Consider the following 18555-nt stretch of genomic DNA (forward strand, 5'->3'; position numbering starts at 1 on the left):
AGGCGGGGGTTGGAGTGAGCCGAGATTGTGCCACTGCATTTCAGCCTGAGGGACAGAGTGAGACTCTGTCAGAAGAGAAAGGAAGGAAAGGGAAGGGGAGGGGAGGGGAGGGGAGGGAAGAAGAGATCTTGGCATAACCCAAACCCCCTTCAGAAGGGTCACCCTGGCTGCTACTTTAAGGATAGGCAGACAGAGGGAGTTGTGGGAGGGAAGGCCAGTCAGGTGGAGAGACTTCCTGGGCAAACTTCTGGAGGTTGAAAGAGTGTGATGTGGGCTCTGACCTGGGAGAACAGTCATGGAGCCAAGGATAGTGGGGGCGGGGGATGCTGGGGTCCTGGGGAATGGCGTGGGGAGTGGCCAGAGACTTGAGGACTTTTGTCTTGTTCCTGAGCAGAGTCTTCCATTCCTCCGGCATTGAGACTTTTTTTTTTCTTTTTTTTTTTTTTTTTTGAGACAGGGTCTCACTCTGTTGCCCAGGCTGGAGTGCAGTGGCGTGATCTCGGCTTACTGCAGCCTCCGCCTCCAGGGTTCAAGTGATTCTCCCGCCTCAACCTCCCTAGTAGATAGGATTACAGGCATGCACCACCATGCCAGTTAATTTTTGTATTTTTAGTAGAGACAGGGTTTCACTATGGGTGAACTTGCTGGTCTCAAACTCCTGGCCTCAGGTGATCTGCCTGCCTTGGCCTCCCAAAGTGCTGGGATTACAGGCATGAGCCACCACACCCAGCCAGGCTCTTTTTATAGACAAAGATGTTAGCGTTCTCGCCCTCTCATCTCACAGGGCATGAGGTCTCTCTCCAGCCTCTTGTGTGAAGGCACAGGTCCCATTCACGAGGTCTCCACCCTCCTCATCTCCCATAGGCCCCAATTCTTAACACCACGACCTGGGGGGTTAAGATTTCAACATATATTGGCCAGGCATGGTGGTGCACACCTGTAATCCCAGCACTTTAGGAGGCCAAAGTGAGCAGATTGCTTTGAGCTCAGGAGTTTAAGACCAGCCTGGGCAACATACCAAAAACCCCATCCCTACTAAAAATGCAAAAATCAGCCAGGTATGGTGGTGGGCGCCTGTAATCCCAGCTACTCCGGAGGCTGAAGCTGGAGAATCACTGGAACTCAGGAGGTGGAGTTTGCAGTGAGCCGAGATTGCGCCACTGCACTCCAGCCTGAGCAACAGGGTGATGAGACTCCATCTCAAAAAAAAAAAAAAAAAAAGATAAAAAAGATTTCAACATATAAATTTGGGGGGACACAAACATTCACACCAAAGCACTTGGCTTGCCAAGTCATCTCCCCACCCCAGCCCCATCCGTTTACTCCCTACAGTTGGTTGAATGACAGTCCTCCAAAAATGTACATTCATATCCTAACCCCCAGAGCCTGTACGTGTGATCTTATTTGGACAAAGGGTCTTTGAAGTTGTATTTATGTGAAGAATCCTGACATGAGATCATCCTGAATTAGAATGGGCTCTAAATCTATTAATAAGTGTCCTGGCCGGGTGCGGTGGCTCACGCCTGTAATCCCAGCACTTTGGGAGGCTGAGGCAGGTGGATCACCGAAGGTCAGGAGTTTAAGACCAGCCTGACCAACGTGGTGAAACCCCGTCTCTACTAAAAATACAAAAATTAGCCAGGTGTGGTGGCGGGCGTCCGTAGTCCCAACTACCTGAAAGACTGAGGTGGGAAGATCAGATCACTTGAGTTGGGGAGGCAGAGGCTGCAGTGAGCCAAGATCATGCCACTGCATTCCAGCATGGGTCACAGAGCCAGAGGGAAAAAAAAAAGAAAGAAAGAAAAAATGTCATCAGAAAAGAATGGAGAGGCCACCGTGACTCACACCTGTAATCCCAGAGCCTTGGGAGGCTGAGTTGGGAGGATCACTTGAGCCCAGGAGTTTGAGATCAGCCTGAGCAACATAGTGAGACCCCTGTCTTTAGAAAAAAGTTTTTAAAAATTAGTGGGGCTTGGTGGTGTGTGCCTGTAGTCCCAGCTACTCAGGAGGCTGAGGTGGGAGGATCCCTTGAGCCTAGGAGGTCGAGGCTGCAGTGAGCCATGATTGTACCGCTTCAGTCTAGGCTGGGTGACAGAGCGAGATTCCGTCTCAAAAAAATTTAAAAAAAAAGGAAACGAAAAAGAAAAAAAGGGAACCAGACACAGAGACACAGGGAAAAAGTCCATGTGACAATGGTGGCAGAAACTGGAGTGATGCAGCCACAAGCCAAGGAATGCTGGGAGCCACCAGAGGCTTGAAGAGGCAGAAAGGATCCTCCCCTAGAGCCTCCAGAGGGCCACCTTGACTTGGGGCTAATGATACTGATTTGGGACTTAAGGGATCCAGAACTGTAAGAAAATAAATGTGTTTTTTTTGTTTTTGTTTTGAAATTATATTTTATTGATATATAATAGTCGTATTGTTTTGTTTTCTGCTGTCCTGAAGCCACCTAGTTTGTGGGCATTGGTTACAACAGTCACAGGAAATATTATAGTTGGCCCTCCATAGCCACGGGTTCCTTATCCAGGATTCAACAAACTGTGAATGGAAAACATTAGGGAAAAAAACCCTAATCCTAGCACTTTGGGAGGGTGAGGCAGGCAGATCACTTGAGGTCAGGAGTTTGAGACCAGCCTGGCCAACATGGTGAAACCCTGTCTCTACTAAAGATAGAAAAAAATTAGCTGGGCGTGGTGGCAGACACCTGTAGTCCCAGCTACTTAGGAGGCTGAGGCAGGAGAGTCGCTTGAACCTGGGAGGTGGAGGTTGCAGTGAGCCAAGATCATGCCATTGCACTCCAGCCTGGGCAACAGAGTGAGATCCTGTCTAAAAAAAACAAAAAGAAAAACAAAAAACAACAACAAAAACCCTGGCTAGCCATGCTGGCTCATGTCTATAGTCCCAAGAATTTGGGAGGCTGAGGTGGGCGGGTTGTTGGAGCCCAGGAGTTGGAGAGCAGCCTGGGCAAAGTAGCAAGACCCCCATCTCTACAAAAAACATTAACAAAATAAGTCCAGTGGGTGGCGCACACCTGTGGTCCCAGCTACTCGAGAGGCCAAGGCAGGAGAATTGCTTCAGCCTGGGAGGTTGAGGTTGCACTGAGTGATGATTGCACCACTGCAATCCAGCCTGGGTGATAAAGCAAGACTCTATCCAAACAAACAAACAAACAAACAAACAAAACAAACCATATTTTATCTATTTATCATTTTTATTATTTTAAATTATTATTATTATTTATTTATTTAGTTTTGAGACAGAGTCTCACTCTGTCGCCCAGGCTGGAGTGCAGTGGTGCGATCTTGGCTCACTGCAAGCTCCGCCTCCCAGGTTCACGCCATTCTCCTGCCTCAGCCTCCTGAGTAGCTGGGACTACAGGCACCCGCCACCACGCCTGGCTAATTTTTTGTATTATTATTATTATTTTCTTTTTTTTTTTAGATGGAGTCTCGCTCTGTCACCCAGGCTGGAGTGCAATGGCACAATCTCAGCTCACTGCAACCTCCACCTCCCGGATTCAAGTGATTCTCCTGCCTCAGCCTCCCGAGTAGCTGGGACTACAGGCATGTGCCACCATGCCCGGCTATTTATTTATTTATTTATTTATTTGTATTTTTAGTAGAGACGGGGTTTCACCATGTTAGCCAGAATGGTCTTGATCTCCTGACCTCTTGATCTCCTGACCTCGTGATCCGCTGCCTCGGCCTCCCAATGTGTTGGGATTACAGGCGTGAGCCACCGTGCCCGGCCTATGTTTAATTATTTTATTATTTTAACAATTATCTTTATGGTTAAAAATATCACAACAGTAAAAAAAAATACATTCTCTGCAGCCCGGATTCAGAAAATGATAAAAATTAAAAAATAAAAATGAGGGAGGCGGATCACTTGTGGCCAGGAGTTCAAGACTAGCTTGGCCAACATGGTGAAACCCCGTCTCTACTAAAAATACAAAAAAATTAGCCAGTCATGGTGGCACGTGCCTGTAATCTTCGCTACTCGGGAGGCTGAGGCCTGAGAATCACTTGAAGCCGGGAGGTGGAGGTTGCAGTGAGCCAAGATCGCGCCACTGCACTCTAGCCACACATATGTATACATATACATATATGTGTATATATACATACATGTATACAGCATATATACACATGTATGTATATATACAGCAGGATGTGCATAGGTGATATGCAAATACTATGCTGTTTTATAAAAGAAACTTGAGCATCTGTGGATTTTGGTATCCAGGGAGGTCCTGGAACCAATCCTACAGGATGCAAAGAGAGGACTAGAATACATTCCCTTTCCTAGCAAAACATCCCAAGAGTTATCACTGGGTCCGGCTGCTCTTCTCTCGTCCTCTCTCTGATCCTCTCCTTTCAGTATTTTGTTCCCACTCGGCCACTAGAAGGGCTCCATCCTGCCCAACCTGATGGTCGTTTCTCAGCCTCTAGGACTGTGCACTCCCAGCTTCCCCTCCCACCTCCAAGGCCACCACTTCTTAGTCTCTTCTGTGATTCCTCTTCATCTCCCAATCTTAGCCTTGAAGAGAAAGCCAAGAGCCAAGATCGGATCATTGCTCACCAGCCTGGGCGACAGAGCGAGACTCTGTCTCAAGAAAAAAATGATTAAAATAAAATAAAATAGGCTGGGCACAGTGGCTCACGCATGTAATCCCAGAACTTTGGAAGGTCCAGGCGGGCAGATCACGAGGTCAGGAGTTCGAGACCAGCCTGGCCAAGATGGTGAAACCCCGTCTCTACTAAAAATACAAAAAATTTGCCAGGTGTGGTGGCGGGCACCTGTAGTCCCAGCTACTCGGGAGGCTGAGGCAGGAGAATGGCGTGAACCCGGAAGGCAAAGCTTGCAGTGAGGCAAGATTGCACCACTGCCCTCCTGCCTGGGCAACAGAGCGAGACTCTGTCTAAAAAGAAAAAAAAAAGAAAACAATTAATAAATAAAAATAAAATAAATGCTGGGCTGAGCGTGGTGGCTCACTGTAATCCCAGCAGTTTGGGAGGCCGAGGTTAGGAGTTTGAGACCAGCCTGGCCAACATGGTGAAACCCCATCTCTACTAAAAACACAAAAGGTAGTCGGGCATAGTGGCAGGCACCTGTAATCCCAGCTACTCAGGAGGCTGAGGCAGGAGAATCACTTGAAACCGGAAGGTGGAGGTTGCAGTGAGCTGAGATCTCGCCACTGCACTCCAGCCTGGGCAACAAGAGTGAAACTCCATCTCAAAAATAAATAAATAAATAAATAAATAAATAAATAAATAAATAAATAAATGCCACTTACACCCGACAGCTCCCAGTGGCGTCCCCCACCTCTCACCTCTCTGCTGACCTTCACCTGCCCCCCAGATGTCTCTGCTGGAAACCCAGTGGGCACACCCAAGTATCACACCGGAAGCAGACTCTTCATCACACTCCAGACCTGTTTCCTCCTCTGTCCTCCCCGCTCCTCTGTCCTCCCTGCTCCTCTGTCCTCCCCGCTCCTCTGTCCTCCCCTCCTCTGTCCTCCCCGCCCCTCTGTCCTCCCCCCTCCTCTGTCCTCCCCCCTCCTCTGTCCTCCGCCTCCTCTGTCCTCCCCCCTCCTCTGTCCTCCCCCCTCCTGTGTCCTCCCCAAATCAGTTAATGACACATCATCGTCCTCTATTGGTGCAGGAGCTGGAATAGTGTCTTCCTCCCCTGACAAAATTCATGTTTACCTGGAGCCTCAGAATGTGACCATATTTGGAAATAGCATCTTTGCAGATGTCATTAGTTAAGTTAAAATAAGATCTTACTAGCCCAGCACTGTGGCTTGAGCCTGTATTCCCAGCTATGCAAGACGCTGAGGTGGGAGGATCACTTGAGGCCAGGGGTTTGACACCAGCCTGGGCAACATAATGAAACCTTGTCTCTACAAAAATAAAAATTTTTTTTTTTTTTGAGACTGAGTCTCGCTCTGTCACCCAGGCTGGAGTCCAGTGGCACGATCTCGGCTCACTGCAAGCTCCATCTTCCAGGTTCACGCCATTCTCCTGCCTCAGCCTCCTAAGTAGCTGGGACTACAGGCGCCCGCCACCACGCCTGGCTAATGTTTTTTTTTGTTGTTGTTGTTTTTGTATTTTTAGTAGAGATGGGGTTTCACCATGTTAACCAGGACGGTCTCAATCTCCTGACCTCGTGATCCGCCCGCCTTGACCTCCCAAAGTGCTGGGATTACAGGTGTGAGCCACCACACCTGGGCTTTTTGTTTTGTTTTGTTTTTTGAGACAGAGTCTCACTCTGCAGCCCGGGCTAGAGTGCAGTGGCACGATCTCTCCTCATTGCAACCTCCGCCTCTTGGGTTCAAGTGATTCTCTTGCCTCAGCCTCCCAAGTACATGGGATTATAGGCATGCACCACCACGCCCAGCTAATTTTGTATTTTTAGTAGAGATGAAGTTTCACCATGTTGGCCAAGCTGGTCTCTAACTCCTCAGCTCAAATGATCCACTCTCCTCAGCCTCCCAAAATGCTGGGATTACAGTTGTGAGCCACCACACCCAGCCAAAAATTTTAAAAAATTAGCCAGGCATGTGGCACACACTTGTAGTCCCAGCTACTTAGGAGGCCAAGATGGGAGGATTGCTTGAGCCCAAAAATTGGAGGCTGCAGTGAGCCATGATTGTGCCACTGCACTCCAGCCTGAGTGACAGAGTAAGACCCTGTCTCTTAAAAAAAAAAAAAAAAAGATGAAGTCTTACTGGACTAGAATGAGCCCTAAATCCAATGACAAGTGTCCATCTAAGAAGAGGAGAGGACACAGAGACACACAGAGACCATGGAAGCCTCTCCATGGAATGACTGGAATGATGCAGCTTTGAGTTGAGGAACACCAAGGATTACAAGGAGCTACCAAAATCTAGGAGAGAGACAAGGAAGGATTCTTCCCTAGAACCTTCAAAGGGAGCCCAGCCCTGCCAACACCTTGACTTTGGACTTTGAGCCTGCAGAACTGTAAGAGAATAACAAACTTATGTTGCTTCAAACCACCAAGTTTGTGGTAATTTATTGCAGCAGCACTAGAAAACTAATACAGTTGGGTGCTTCAGAAGTGTACCTGAGACACTCTGATTTGAGTAAAAGTGGTTTATCTGTAAGGTGATTGCAGGGAGTGCTGGCAGGGGATGGAGGAGATGAGATGCAGAAGGGAGGGCAGCCAGTACATCATGTGGAAATGAGCAGGTTATTCTGCGATATCTAGGTCTTAACTCATCTTGGACAAACCCTGAGAGTTATCTTATGCAAAGGGTGAGGGAGCTGGGGTATTTATCCTCCAACTCCCAGCCATTGTTAGTTGAGGTATGCTAGCAGGGAAAATGAATTCTCCAGAACTTCTGGCTGCCTGCATGCACCAGAGCAAAGCTGTCAGGCAAAGAGTCACAGGTACAGGTGGTATGAAGCCACTGGATTGACGTGCATGGTGTAGGGACAGCCTCTAAGATGGCCCTCAATGTTCCAACCCTTGCATTAATGCCCTACCCTTGAGTGTGGTTAGACTCTATGACTTGCTTCCTGCCCATAGAATGTGGCAAAATCGATGCAATGTCACTTCTAAAATTAGGTCACAAAAAAGACCACGCCTTTCATCTTGGGTGCACTCCCTTTTTTTTTTTTTTTTGGAGATGGAGTCTTGCTCTGTCGTCCAGGCTGGAGTGCAATGGTGCAATCTCTGCTCACTGCAACCTCCACCTCCCGGTTCAAGTGATTCTCCTGCCTCAGCCTCCCAAGTAGCTGGGATTACAGGCATGGGCCATTATGCCCAGCTAATTTTTTATTTTTACTAGAGATGGGGTTTCACCATGTTGGTCAGGCTGGTTTTGGACTCCAGACCTCACCCACCCACCTCAGCCTCCCAAAGTGCTGGGATTACAGGCGTGAACCATTGTGCCCAGCTGGATGCACTCCCTTTCTTGCCCTCTCTTCTGCTCACTCTGAGGGAAGCCAACTGCCAGGCTGTGAGCTGCCCATCGGAGAGGGTCACAAGGCCAGGAACCAGAAGAGGCCTCTGACCAACAGCCAGTGGGCAACTGATCCTGCCAACAACTCATGAGCTTGAAAGTGGATCCTCCCCAGTCGAGCTTTCAGATGAGATCATGGCCTCAGTCACCAACTATTTCTTTTTAATTGAGATGCATCCATGCCCATTTGCTTTTTGTTGTTGTTAGTTAATTAATTAATTAAAAAATAGAGATAGGGTCTCACTCTGCTGTCCAGGCTGGAGTGCAGTGGTGCGATCAATAGCTCCCTGCAGTATTGAACTCCTGGGCTCAAGGGATCCTTCTACCTCAGTTTCCCAAGTAGCTGGGACTATAGGTGCATGCCACCACACCTGGCTAATTTTTTGTTTAGTTTAGTTTAGTTTTGTTTTGAGATGGAGTCTCACTCTGTCACCTAGGCTGGAGTGCAGTGGTGCAATCTCGGCTCACTACAACCTCCGCCTCCTGAGTTCAAGTGATTCTCCTATTCAGCCTCCTGAGTAGCTGAAACTACAGGCCCATGCCACCATGCCCGGCTAGATTTTGTATTTTTAATAGAGATGGGGTTTCACCATGTTGGCCAGGCTGGTCTCAAACTTCTGGCCTCAAGTGATCCACCTACTTCAGCCTCCCAAAGTGCTGGGATTATAGAGGTGAGTCACTGCACTGGCCTAAAATTTATTTAATTGACAAATTAAAATTGTACGTATTTATGGTGTATGACATGATGTTTTGAAGTACATATACATTTCAGAATGGCTAAATGGAGTGAATTAACATATATATTACCTCACATGCCTATTTTTGTGTGTGACAAGAACACTTAAAATCTCTCTCAGTGATTTTCAAGTATACGATACATTGTTATTAGCTATAGTCACCATACTGTAGAAGACATCTCTTGACTGTATTCCTGTCTAACTGAAAGTGTATAGCCTTTGACTAACATCTCCCCAGTCCCTCCACTCTAGCCCCTGGTAACCACCATTCACTCTCTGTTCTTTTTCTTTCTTTTTTGGAAACAGGGACTCACTTTGTCATCCAGGCTGGAGTGCAGTGGCATGATCATGGCTCACTGCAGCCTCAACCTACTGGGGTCAGGTGTTCCTCCCACCTCAGCCTCCCAAGTAGCTGGGACTACAGGCACACACCACCATGCCCATCTAATTTTAGTATTTTTTGTAGAGATCAGGTTTCACCATGTTGCCCAGGCCTGTCTACAACTATTGAGCTCAAGCGATCCACCTCCCTTGGCCCCCCAAAGTGCTAGGATTATAGGGATGAACCACCACGTGCAATCTCGGCTCATTGCAACTTCTGCCTCCCAGGTTCAAGCGATTATCCTGCCTCAGCCTCCTGAGTAGCTGGGATTACAGGTGCGCACCACCATGCCCGGCTCATTTTTGTATTTTTAGTAGAGACGGGGTTTAACCATGTTGGTCAGGCTGGTCCTGAACTCCTGACCTCATGATCCGGCCGCCTTGGCCTCCCAAAGTGCTGAGATTACAGGCGTGAGCGACTGCACCCGGATAGTAACCCATCTGTACCCCATCACTGTAGACTCCCCTCTTTCTGTCATCCCTCACATCCAATCCATTAGCCAGCCCTGTCCACTCCAACTCCAAAACCCACCCTGAGCCCATAGAGCCTTCCTCACCTGCACTGCCACCAGCCTGGGACAAGTCATTCTTGTCTGTCATCTGAATTGTAGCAAAGATCTCTCCTCCCTATCAAGCTCTATCCAGGTGGATCTGCTCAGCCAAGGTAGGCTTTTTAATTCTTTATTTTAGAGACAGCGTGTCATTTTGTTGCCCAGAAGGGAGTGAAGTGGTGCAATCATAGCTTACTGCAGCCTCAACCTCCTGGGCTTAAATGAGTCTCCTGCCTTAGCCTCCACAGCAGCTGGAACTACAGGTGCGTGCCACTGTGCTCAGCTAATTTTTTTTTTTTTTGAAATGGAGTCTCACTCACTCTGTCGCCCAGGCAGTGTGTCGCCCAGGCAGTGAGTACAGTGGTGTGATCTTGCCTCACTGTTACCTCCATCTCCCGGGTTCAAGTGATTCTCCTGCTTAGCCTCCCAAGTAGCTGGGATTACAGGTATGCACCACCCCACATGGCTAATTTTTGTATTTTTAGTAGAGATGGGGTTTTGCCACGTTGGCCAGGCTGGTCTCGAACTCCTGGCCTCAAGTGATCTGCCTGCCTCAGCTTCCCAAAGTGTTGGGATTACAGGTGTCAGCAACTGTGCCTGGCCTAATTTTAAATTTTTTGTAAAGATGTGGTCTCGAACCCCTAGCCTCAAGCGATCCTCCCACCTCCACCTCCTAAAGTGCTGGGATTACAGGCGTGAGCCACTGCATCCGGCCTCCTGCACTTCTTCCTTAAGCACATGCTCACCCAGTGCTTCCATTCATGCATGGGACCAGCACTCATTAAGCACTTACTGTATGTACCTGACCTCTGAGTATCCAACAGGCATTTTTCTCATTTAATCCTTGAAATGACCCTACTGTCATTGTACCTATATTATAGCCAGAGAAACAGAGGCACAGACCAGCAAAACCACTTACCTAAGGTGACTCAGTCAATGCCAGGCAGGGCTGGGATTTGTAGGTTTTTTTTGTTGTTTGAGACGGAGTCTTGCCCTGTCACCCAGGCTGGAGTGCAGTGGTGCTATCTCAGCTCACTGCAACCTCCACCTCCCGGGTTCAAGCGATTCTCGTGCCCCAGCCTCTCAAGTAGCTGGGATTACAGGTGTGCACCACCATGCCTGGCTGATTTTTTGTTTGTTTGTTTTCTTTTGTTTTGAGTCAGAGTTTCACTCTTGTTGCCCAGGCTGGAGTGCAGTGGCGCGATCTCGGCTCACTGCAACCTCCGCCTCCCAGGTTCCTGTGATTCTCCTGCCTCAGCCTCCCGAGTAGCTGGGATTACAGGCATGCGCCAACATGCCCAGCTAATTTTTTATATTTTTAGTAGAGACAGGGTTTCTCCATGTTGGTCAGCCTGGTCTCGAACTCCCAACCTCAGGAGATCTGCCCGCCTTGGCTCCCAAAATGCTGAGATTACAGGCATGAACCACCACGCCTGGCTTTTTTTCTTTTTTTTTTTTTTTGAGATGGAGTTTTGCTCTGTCACCAGGCTGGAGTGCAGTGGCGCGATCTTGGCCCACTGCAACCTCCGCCTCCTGGGTTCAAGCAATTCTCCTGCCTCAGCTTCCCAAGTAGCTGGGACTATAGGCGCATGCCACCACACCCGACTAATTTTTTGTATTTTAGTAGAGACGGGGGTTTCACCATGTTGGCCAGGATGGTCTCAATCTCGTGACCTTGTGATCTGCCCACCTCGGCCTCCCAAATGATTTTTGTATTTTTAGTAGAAACGGGGTTTCACCATGTTGGCCAGGCTGGTCTTGAACTCCTGACCCCAAGTGACTTGCCCGCTTCAGTCTCCTAAAGTCCTGGGATTACAGGCATGAGCTACTGCTGACCCCAGGGCTGGGATTTGAACCCACGCAGTTTCTATACCAGCCCTGGGGTCTTCATTGACATTCAGCTTATGCATCCAATGTGTTAATTCTCTCACTTCCAAACAGATGGGCGTTTCCAAGTGCCCAGAGACCCTGGCAGGTTTACATCTCTTGGCTTTATCCAGAAGGTGGTTTGGTCTTCAAGGCCGGGCACGGTGGCGCACACCTGTAATCCTAGCACTTTGGGAGGCCAGGCAGGCGGATCACCAGAGGTCAGGAGTTTCAGACCAGCCTGACCACCATGGAGAAACCCTGTTTCTACTAAAAATACAAAATTAGCCGGGCGTGGTGGCACATGCCTGTAATCCCAGCTACTCAGGAGGCTGAGGCAGGAGAATCGCTTGAACCCAGGAGGCAGAGGTTGTGGTGAATCAAGATCGCGCCATTGTACTCCGGCCTGGGAAACAAGAGCAAAACTCCGTCTCAAAAAAAAAAAAAGAAAAGAAGAGAACAGAAGGTGGTTTGGTCTTTCTCAGCTGCGCTGATGAACAGGCCCATTTCTTGTCCTCAGAGATAGGGTCTAGCGTAGCAGGGGAGTCAAGGCAGGTATCACTCAACTGAAATCCACAGGAACTACTCAACCCTGTGTAAGAGCACCTGGGATGTGTTAACTCTGCCTGGGAGAGATTTGGAAAGGCAGGAAGGACTCTTTTTGTTCGTCTTTGTTGGTTTTTGTTTTTTTTTTTTTGGATTGTTGTTTGTTTTGAGACAGAGTCTTGCTCTGTCGTACAGGCTGGAGTGCAGTGGTGAGATGTTGGTTCACTGCAACCTCTGCCTTTCCGGCAATTCTCCTGCCTCAGCCTCCTGAGTATATGAGATTACAAGTGCCTGTCACCATGCCTGGCTAATTTTTGTATTTTTAGTAGAGACGGGGTTTCACCATGTTGGCCAGGCTGGTCTTGAACTCCTGACCTCAAGTGATCCGCCTGCCTTGGCCCCCCAAAGTGCTAAGATTATAGGCGTAAGCCACCACAGCTGGCCCATCTTTGTATTCTGAGCCAGCTAAACACACAAAGGCCAGACTGGGGCAGGGCATGGTGGCTCATGCCTGTAATCCCACCATTTCAGCAGGCCAAAGTGGGAGGATTGCTTGAGGATTGCTTCAAGACCAGCTTGGGCAACATAGCGAGACCCAATCTCTTAAAAAATAACAAAAAATTAGCTGGATGTGGTGGCACACACCTGTAGTCTCAGCTACTCCAGAGGCTGAGGCAGGAGGATTCCTTGAGCCTGGGAGATTGTTAGCCTGGGTGACGGAATGAGGCCTTGTCTCTTAAAAAAAAAAAAAAAAAAAGGCCGGGCGCAGTGGCTCATGCCTGTAATCCCAGCACTTTGGGAGGCCAAGGTGGGTGGATCACCAGGTCAGGAGATCGAGACCATCCTGGCCAACATGGTGAAACCCCGTCTCTACTACAAATAAAAAATTAGCTGGGTGTGGTGTTGTGTGCCTGTAATCCCAGCTACTCGGGAGGCTGAGGCAGGAGAATCGCTTGAACCAGGTAGTCGGAGGTTGCAGTGAGCCGAGATCGCGCCACTGCACTTCAGCCTGGTGACAGAGCGAGACATCATCTAAAAAAAAAAAAAAAAAAATGCCAAAGTGGGTAAATGACTTGCCGCAGGTCACACAGCCTGGAAGTCCGAAGGAGCCTTTGCAAGAAATCTTGCTGCTTTCAACCCTCCTTGTTAGTCTCCCAGGCTGCTGTAAGGAAGTGCTACCCATTGGGTGGCTTAAAGCAACAGAGATTTATTCTCTTCCACACCTGGAGGCCAGAAGCCTGGAATCAAGGTGTTGACAGGACCATGTTCCCTCTGAAACTTGCAAGGGAGACTCCTTCCTTGCCCCTGCCTGGCCAGCGGGCATTGGTGGTGGCCAGCAATGCTGGGTGCTCCTTGGCTTGTAGATGATGCATCTCTCCAATCTCTGCATCATCCAGTCTCTGCCTCCTCCATCACATGGACTCTCCCTCGTGTACTTGTGTCTATTCTCTTCTTACCAAGACACTGGTCGTATTGGCTGGGCGCAGTGGCTCACGCCCGTAATCCCAGCACTTTGGGAGGCTGAGGCGGGCGGATCACTTGAGGTCAGGAGTTCGAGACCTGAGGCAAGTTGCAATTTTTAGCCCCATTTTATAGATGAAGCCACTGAGTCTTGGATAATAACATGCTCATTCTTCCTGGAACCACCCAGAAGACTTCTGCTGGAGTCTTATTGGCCGGAAGAGTGTCACACAGCCATCTCTAGAAGGAAGGGAGTTGGGAGGCTGAGGTAGGCGGATCACTTGAGGTCAGGAGTTTGAGATCAGCCTGGCCAACATGACGAAACCCCGTCTCTACTAAAAATACAAAAAATTAGCCGGGCATGGTGGTGGGTGCCTGTAATCCCAGCTACTCGGGAGGCTGAGGTAGGAGAGTAGCTTGAACCTGGGAGGCGGAGGTTGCAGTGAGCTGAGATTGCACCACTGTCCTCCAGCCTGGGTAACAGAGTGAGACTCTGTCCCCAAAAATAAATAAATAAATAAATAAATAAATAAAATAGAAGCAAGCGGGACTTGAAGGCTGGAATAATGGCAAGGGGAGCTGGAAGAGGGGCTGGAAGACAAAAAAAATACATAAACACATAAATAAATAAAATAGAAGCAAGGGGGGCTGGAGGGCAAGGATTAGGCAGGGCACACTGACACTTAAGGAGCCCTGTGTTAGCAAAGGAAAGAGATAGGTGTGAATTTGACAAACTGTGTCTCCCACAATTCTCCCTGCCTCTGAATCTGGATGAAGTATATTGAGTGCCCGCTAAGGACTAAGCACTATGCTACAGACTCACGGCAAATTATTCCTTTTTTTTTTTTGAGATGAAGTTTTGCTCTTGTTGCCCAGGATGGAGTGCAATGGCACGATCTCGGTTCACTACAACCTCTGCCTCCCAGGTTCAAGCAATTCTCCTGTCTCAGCCTCATGAGTAGCTGGGATTACAGGTGCACACCACCATGCCCGGCTAATTTTTGTATTTTTAGTAGAGGTGGAGTTTCACCATGTTGACCAGACTGGTCTTGAACTCTTGACCTCAGGAGATCTGCCCACCTCGGCCTCCCAAAGTGTTGGGATTACAGGCGTGAGCCACTGCACCCAGCCTTCAAGGCAAATTCTTTTTTTTTTCCCCCTGAGATGGAGTTTCACTCTGTCATCCAGGCTGGAGTCCAGTGGTGTGATCTCAGCTCACTGCAACCTCTGCCTCCTGGGTTCAAGCGATTTTCCTGCCTTAGCCTCCCGAGTAGCTGGGATTACAGGTACACGCCACCACGCCCAGCTAAGTTTTTGTATTTTTAGTAGAGACAGGGTTTCACCATGTTGGCCAGGCGGTCTCAAACTCCTGACCTCAGTGATCTGCCCACCTTGGCCTCCCAAAGTGTTGGGATTACAGGCATGAGCCACTACGCCCGGCCAAGACCTCAACTCTTAAATAAATAAATAAATAAAGCCAATACCATCCCTGCAGAGTTAGCTTTCAGGAGGGCTTATATTCTAGTTGCTGAGGGATGGGGTGGCTCAGAAATAATATTGGTTATGGGAATAACTTGTACTGTGGTCCAGGCACTGCTTTGAGGACTTCTCATTCACTAAGTCAATTATTCATTACCCGCTATATAAGGTGGGTTTTTTGTTTTTGTGGATTCTTTTTTTTTTTTTTTTTTTTGAGATGGAGTCTCGCTCTGTTGCCCAGGCTGGAGTGCAGTGGCGCGATCTCGGCTCACTGCAAGCTCCGCCTCCTGGGTTCATGCCATTCTCCTGCCTCAGCCTCCCGAGTAGCTGGGACTACAGGCGCCCGCCACCATGCCCGGCTAATTTTTTGTATTTTTAGTAGAGATGGGGTTTCCCCTTGTTAGCCAGGATGGTCTCGATCTCCTGACCTCGTGATCCGCCTGCCTCAGCCTCCCAAAGTGCTGGGATTACAGGCGTGAGCCACCACACCCCGCCTTGCAGATTTTTTTTTAGAGACTACAGGTGTAAGCCATTGTGCCTGGCTTTTTTTTTTTTTTTTTTTTTTTTTTTTGGTAGAGACAGGGTCTTGCTATGTTGCCCAGGCTGGTCTCAAACTCTTGGCCTAAAGGGACCCTCCTACCTTGGGCTCCTGAGTGGCTGGGATTACAGACTCCGGACACTGCACCCGGCTCCAGGTGGGTTTTATTACCATCCTCATTTTATAAATGAGGAAAGGGGCTCGGAGAAGTTAAGTAACATGCCCAATGTCACACAGCTAATAACTGTGAAGCCGGGATTTGAACCCAGGTTCTTGGATTCGAGAGCATAAGACCCTGAGTTCAGGTAAGTAATACAATGTCAGCTGGCTGTAAGACAGATGATGGTAAATAACAGGGACCACTAGGCCTGGCAAGGTGGCTCACACTTGTAATCCCAGCACTTTGGGAGGCAGAGGTAGGCGGATCACCTGAGGTCAGGAGTTTGAGACTAGCCTGGCCAACATGGTGAAACCCTGTCTGTATTAAAAATACAAAAATTAGCCAGGTGTGGTGGCATGTGCCTGTGGTCCCAGCTACTTGTGAGGCTGAGGTGGGAGAATCGCTTGAACCCAAGAGGCGGAGGTTGCAGTGAGATCACACCACTGTGCTCTAGCCTGGGTGACAGAGCGAGACTCCATCTCAAAAAAAAAAAAGGCCAGGGGCGGTGGCTCACGCCTGTAATCCCAGCACTTTGGGAGGCCGAGGCGGGCGGATCACGAGGTTAGGAGATCGAGACCATCCTGGCTAACACAGTGAAACCCAGTCAATACTAAAAATACAAAAAATTAGCCGGGCATGGTGGCGGGCGCCTGTAGTCTCAGCTACTCGGGAGGTCGAGGCAGGAGAATGCCGTGAACCCGGGAGGCGGAGCTTGCAGTGAGCCGAGATCAGGCCACCGCACTTCAGCCTGGGCGACAGAGCAAGACTCCGTCTCAAAAAAAAAAGGCCGGCGCGGTGGCTCATGCCTGTAATCCCAGCGCTTTGGAAGACCGAGGCAGGTGGATCACCTGAGGTCAGGAGTTCTAGACCAGCCTGGCCAACATGGTGAAATCCGGTATCTACTAAAAATACAAAAATTAGCTGGGCATGGTGGCATGCGCCGGTAATCCCAGCTACTCAGGAAGCTGCTTGAACCCAGGAGGTGGAGGTTGCAGTGAGCCGAGATTGCACCACTGCACTCCAACCTGGGCTACAGAGCAAGACTCCGCCTCAAAAGAAAAAATACAAATACAAATAAAATAAAGAGAACAGCCAGTGGGAAGTCCCAGAAATGGGCACACACTGGGTGTGTCTGGGGTGCAGTGAGGGGCCCCCTGTGGCTGAGGCGAAAGTCTAGGGATTATTGCACCCACTTTGCACGTGTGACCTTCCACAATTCTTCACACAGCGACTCCTTCACAACAGTCTCATGACATAGGTTTTTATAATTCTCCTCTCTTGACGGGCGGGGAAACTGAGGCTCAGGGTGGCTAATTGAGCCACAGCCAGAAAGCAATGGAGCTCCAATCTGAATCCAGGCAGCCTGCCCCCACTGCCGAACTCCAAGGGAAACACAGTAGGGAGCCAATGCCAGCAGGCTGGGAGGGCTGCCTGGAGGAGGTGGATGTCACCAGGACCTGCGGGAGGACCCTGAGGAGCAGGGAGGGAGGGAGCTGCCGCTGACCAAGGCACAAAAACATGTTCCTGGGGCAGTTCTTGGAAGGCAGATTTCCAGGTGCCTGCCCCCAATGTGGCCCTGCCTCCCGCTCCCCCTGGCCCCCTCTTCCTAGAGGGAAGGCGGCAAGAGGCGCTTCATTAGCGCCTCTGAGGCCCCAGCAGCCCCGGGGGGATGAAAAGGGCCTAGGAGGGGAGCCGTCCTAATTTTGGCACACCTGGCAGGGGGCCCAGGGCCACTGAAAGGGATTCAGCTGGGGCCGGCTGGGCAGGCCCCGTCATTGTTCCGGCTAGATCCGCGGTCAGGGCTTCAAATGCAAAATCGGGCTGGGGATGGGGTGGGGGCGCCGGTGGCCTCTGCTCTTCCTTTAATAGACCAAAGGACTCTGGCGGCTTAGCTCTTTTTCCTAATTTAAAGGTATTTTCAGGCGTTTGGGAGCTCCCCTACGGCGAAGCAGGAAGGCTGGGAAGTGGGGGGCCTTGAAACTCTCTTCGTGGTTGCCCGCGGAGGATGGAGGAAAAGGCGGGGAGGAGGGGGGCTGAGGTTGGTCTGGGGTCACTGGTGGGGCGCTGGGCAGGTGGAGACCCGTGTTGAGTTCTCGGCTGTCCTCTGCCCCAGTTTCCCTCTCTGGAACCTCTGTCTGGTTTCTGGAACCGTCCCCAGCAGGTAGGACGGATGCAGGTGTGCCCAAACGGCAGTTTCTTCCTAAGGAGCTCTTTCGGGTCAACTCCGGAGGCCTTGACTAGGGAGGCAGATGGAGGAGGCTTGATCCCTCTCAGCATGGCAGCCGTGGTGCCAAGGCAGGAAGGAGGGTAGGGAGGCAAGCCAATGGGGTGCAGCGGCCTCCATGCCAGAAAATGGGGGCTCCCTGGATCATCTCCTCGGCGGGAGGGTGCACGGGGACCAGGAGAGAGAACCAAAGGACCCCGCTGGAGGGGGGCTTGGAGCCTAGAGACAGTTGAGGGGGTACTGTCTTCCCCTCTCTCCTGGCCACGCTGCCCGGTCGGCCTTTTTCTCCCCTTTCCCTCCCCTTTTGCCCCCACCCCCGCCTGCCCCCCTCCAGGCCCCAGCGCCCCCCACTCCCAACCCCCCGGCCTGCTCTCCTGCCTCCCCCGTGCCACCTCCTTGGGCTGCGTTTCTCTTCCCTCCTCCGAGTTCCAGGCCATCCCCTCTCCCCCTCCCCAGCCCGCCCTCCTCCTTCTGACTGGCTCCCGCCTCCCTAACGCTCTCTCAGCCTCCCAGCCCCCTCCTCCCTCCCTCTCTCTCTCCCTCTCTCCCTTTCCTTCCTTCATCCCAGCCTCTCTTCCCACCTTCCCCAGCAGGAGAGAGGGGGCCGCGCTCCCCCCAGCCCCTCCCC

At 50.3% G+C, this 18555-nt stretch overlaps 2 annotated features.

Annotated features, from left to right (window-relative positions):
• Nucleotides 17963-18022: a silencer, noted in NCBI's record as "silent region_10240". NCBI's record gives its function as "represses an Ori minimal core promoter by ATAC-STARR-seq in GM12878 lymphoblastoid cells {active_cell/tissue: GM12878}" and the evidence as "EXISTENCE:reporter gene assay evidence [ECO:0000049][PMID:35858748]".
• Nucleotides 18123-18172: a silencer, noted in NCBI's record as "silent region_10241". NCBI's record gives its function as "represses an Ori minimal core promoter by ATAC-STARR-seq in GM12878 lymphoblastoid cells {active_cell/tissue: GM12878}" and the evidence as "EXISTENCE:reporter gene assay evidence [ECO:0000049][PMID:35858748]".

This window comes from Homo sapiens, chromosome 19 (assembly GCF_000001405.40).
Source record: "Homo sapiens chromosome 19, GRCh38.p14 Primary Assembly".
Taxonomy (NCBI): domain Eukaryota; kingdom Metazoa; phylum Chordata; class Mammalia; order Primates; family Hominidae; genus Homo; species Homo sapiens.